The sequence below is a fragment of the Homo sapiens genome, chromosome 5 (genome assembly GCF_000001405.40).
Source record: "Homo sapiens chromosome 5, GRCh38.p14 Primary Assembly".
Classification (NCBI taxonomy): domain Eukaryota; kingdom Metazoa; phylum Chordata; class Mammalia; order Primates; family Hominidae; genus Homo; species Homo sapiens.
Window position 1 is genome coordinate 116,639,828 of NC_000005.10, and position 4,140 is coordinate 116,643,967.

The 4,140-nt window shown below is 40.2% G+C and overlaps 1 annotated feature.

Moving 5' to 3' along the window:
* Positions 421 to 1,009: an enhancer, noted in NCBI's record as "NANOG hESC enhancer chr5:115975944-115976532 (GRCh37/hg19 assembly coordinates)". NCBI's record gives its function as "activates a minimal SCP1, AML or CMV promoter by ChIP-STARR-seq in naive H9 embryonic stem cells {active_cell/tissue: H9 hESC(naive)}" and the evidence as "EXISTENCE:reporter gene assay evidence [ECO:0000049][PMID:30033119]".

The window sequence follows — 4,140 nt, forward strand, 5'->3', positions numbered from 1 at the left end:
CTCTGTCTCTTCCCTCCCTTACCTCTTTGCCAACCCCAAACCAACTCTTCTCTGAGCTCCTACCAACATCTCAGAGCAAGCATATGTTTTAACTATTTGACTCCACTTTCTGGACTAATCATTACTGATTCCAAAGGTGGGACTTTTAGGCCAGAGAAGAGGAGACAATGGTGGCATGGCATTGCAGTGGGACAAAAGAAGCCCAGTGATGTCCCTCAAATCATATGATGTAAGTTCACCTCTATTCCATTTCTGTATAGCTCTTGTCTTCATAATATTTATTAATTCAAAATTATTCATTCAATGCCTATTGTTTTTTCTTTTTCTGAAGATAAGCTTCAGACAAGACAGTACCTATTATGCATCAGGCAGTATTCTAGAGGCTTAGGACACATCCATGAATAAAATAGACAAAAAGTCTTGACCTTGTGAGGCTTACATTCTAGCAGGAGTGATAGAGGACTAAAAATGTAGATATTATAAATAATAAATGAGTATACTAGGGTTACTCAGGGAAACAGAACCAACAGGATATATGATACAGAGACAGAGCAAGGTAAGAGGGATTAGTAATGCTGGGGGTCAGAGGTCACTGCAGGTTTAACAGAGTGCTCAGGAGGGTAGCATCTGAATAAAGACTTGCAGATGACAAGCCATTCAGATATTTAAAGGAAGAGCTGTCCACAAAAGGGATGATTCAAGGCAAAGGCCTTAATGTAGAAGCATGCTTAGAATATTCAAAGTAAAGCATAAGGCCAGTGAAGGTGGTAGCCTTCAATCAAAGGTGAAGTCAGAGAAGTAACCAGGAGTCAAATCACGAAGTGACATGTGGCTCATTGTTAGGACTCTGGCCTTGCCTCTGATTGAGGTGGGGCAGGGGAAGGGTATCACAGAGCTTTAAGTGACAGAAGACATGAAATAACAGACATTCTAACTAATCATTTTGGTTGCATTGTTGAGAACAAGCAGTACGGGAGTAGGGAGAGAGAAAGAGAGGTCAGGTCAATTAGAAGGCAATTTCAATAACCAAGACAGAAGATGGTGGTGACTTGAAACAGTGAAGAGAAATGGTCATAGTCTGGATACAGGACTTCTGGATACAGGACTTCTTGATGTTTAGGCAAAAGAGAAGTCAAGCATGACTTTCAGGCTGTTGGTCTAAGCAACTTGAAGAATGGAGTTACCATCCACTGAGGTGGAAAAAACTGCAGGAGCAATAGAATGGGAGGTGGACTGAGAGTTCAGTGTTGGATATGTTAAGAATGAAGTCTCTACTAGACTTGTAAAGTGGATATATGGAGTCTGGAGTTTGGAAGACTATTCTAGTTGGAGATATAGTGTAGGAGTTGTCTGTACATAGATGGCATTTAAAACTAGGAGAATGGAAAACTACAAAAATAGTGGAGGTAGAGAGAGAAGAGGTTCAAGATGTGTGCATGGAGTTGTCTGCATATAGATCACATTTAAAACTAAAAGAATGGAAACTTGACAAAAATAGCAGGTGTAGATAGAGAATAGGTTCAAGAACTGTGCATGCATGGAGTACCCCAACATAAAGACACAAAAGAGAAGAGTAGGAGGAACCAGGAAAGGAGAGAGAAGGAGTGTCAGGGAGATAGTGGGAGGGGTGTGGAAATGCATGGTGTTTTGGGAATGAAATGAAGAAAGTGTATGAAGAAGAGAATACCAACTGCCTCAAATTCTGCTGATGGGTCGAGCAACATGAGGACGAAAATTAGAAACTGGATTTAATACTGAGATGTCCCAAGGTGACCTTGAGAAGAACAGTTTTGGTGGAGTGGTAAGGGCGAAAACCTTGTTGGGATGAATTTAAGAGAGAATATGAAGAGACATAGAGGAGACAGTACATGTAAACAACTCTTTCAAGTGATGTCTTTAATGAAGAAAAGAAAAATGGACTAATGGGAGATGTCAAGAGAAGCAGTTTTTAAGATGGGAGAAATAACAGCATATTACTATGCTGATGGACTTGTTGGTGTAGAGGACACAGGGGTGGACTGCTGGGGCACTGTGGGGAAAGGAGATGAGACTTGGTATCAGAGCATTGGGACTGGTGTTAGAATGGACAGGCTGGCCCAGTTCTGCCCCAGGTGGGAGGCAGAAAGCCTACGTGCAGAGAGGGTGGTAGATGAGAAGGCAGAGGGTGTTTGGGGACTCTCTTTCAACTGCTTTGTTCTGTCAGAGAATTAAGAAAGTCATCAACTGAAAATTAGGGTATAGGAGAAGATGTTGGAGGCTGAAATAGACATCTTGAAAGGGAGCATCGTGAATGGACTAGGGAAGTATAGCACAATTGTCCGGCAGCATTTAAGGCCTATTTGAGCTTCTTGGTCATGGAACTCTGTTAAAATGAAACCTGTCAGCATGATTATGTGTTCCAGGGATTTCCAGCTGCACAGCTGATGTACATAAAAGGTGGAAAATTGGATCTCTTCTCCACTGGAAATTTTTTAATGCAGCAATTTAAATGTTTTGAGAATCAAAGAGTCACTTCAAACAATTATGCCTACCTGTTGAGCTTCCATCTTTCCTTCCTTTCTTTCTTCCTTCCATTTTTTCCTTTCTTGCTTGCTTTTTCCCTTTTTTCTTTCTCTCTTCTTTCTTTTCCTCCAAAAGAACTTGTGAATGTCTCCTAGTTGTATAATAATTGCACCTGAAACTGGTCTAAAACAGTCCACATTTCTTCAATAAACTTTATTGTGTGTTTATTAAGTGCCAAGAGCTCTGTTAGGTACTGTGGAAGACACAAAAAACAAAAAACAAAAACTCAAGAAGTTCACAGCAGAGTGGCAAAGGTGAAATATGTCCATAATAACTGCATATAAGATAGAAATTGGTGAGCACCAATTTGAAAAGTGTGAGACTTTAGAGAAGAGAAAGATTTCTAGTTGGAGATGGGGAATCTGGGAAGATTTGAGATTGTAGTTTTCAAAGATGGAATATCTCCTATCCCACATACTTTTCTATGATGAGACATTGGTAGTCCTACCATTGAGAGTTGGAATTGATATCTTCCCTTGAACCTGGATGGGCTTGTGACTCATATGTAACCAATACAGTACACAGTAGAAATAACGCTTTTAACTTCTGGGGCTAAGTCAGAAAAAGAGGTTCAAGTCTCCCCCTGTTTACTGGGACATCAGGTAAAAAGTCCATCAAGTGAGAAATTCAATTCCTCTGGGGCCACCATGCTTTGAGGAAGCTCAGGCCACATAGGGAGGTGATCTGTGGGTGCTTTGGTTGACATTCCCAGCTGAGGTCCTAGCTGATGGCCAGCATTGACAGCAGACATGTGAAGAAGGCACCTGCACATGATTCTAGCCCCCAGCTCTTGAGTCACCCCAGCCATTAGGTATTCCCAGCTCAGTCCCCAGACATCATGGAAAAGACGCAAGCCATCTCTGCTACACACTCTGAATTCCTTACCCTCTGAATCCATGAGCATAATACAATGGTCGTTTTACACCATTGAGTTGTGAAGTGATTTGCCGTGTAACAATAGTAACCAGAACAGAAGATTTCTTGAAAGAGAGAACATTCAAGCCAAGTTAACTTCAGATGTAAAAAAAGTGTAATATTAAATGAGCCTGGGTAATTGTATTCTCAATTGCGTAGGAAACTTTTTGAATTTCCCTTTTGCATTTGATGTTCTGGCTATTGAACATTCTTTTGTAGAAATATCTCTAGATGTCTATCTGATTCCAGAGCATTTACAAAGATTTTGGAATGCAGCTCTTTCTTGTGATTTGATTCTGAGATGACACAGCACCATCAAATACAACTTAGCAGAACCTAGCTTTTGAAGAGAGTAACTAACTTTCATACAAAAAGTTGACAACTTCATTAGCAGAGTTACCAGTACACATTTTATATAAAACTAACAATACTATTTACATGGTCACATAAAAAGCTTTGTAGGATATCTATCTATATCTATCATCTATCTATCTATCTATCTATCTATCTATCTATCATCTGCCTATTATCTATCCATCTATCTAAACAACAGGAACATATTAATGCATTGTTAGGCAATTTCATCATTTTGAGCAGTGGTCCCCCACATTTTTGGCACCAGGCATTGGTTTTGTGGAAGGCAATTTTTCCATGGACTGGGGC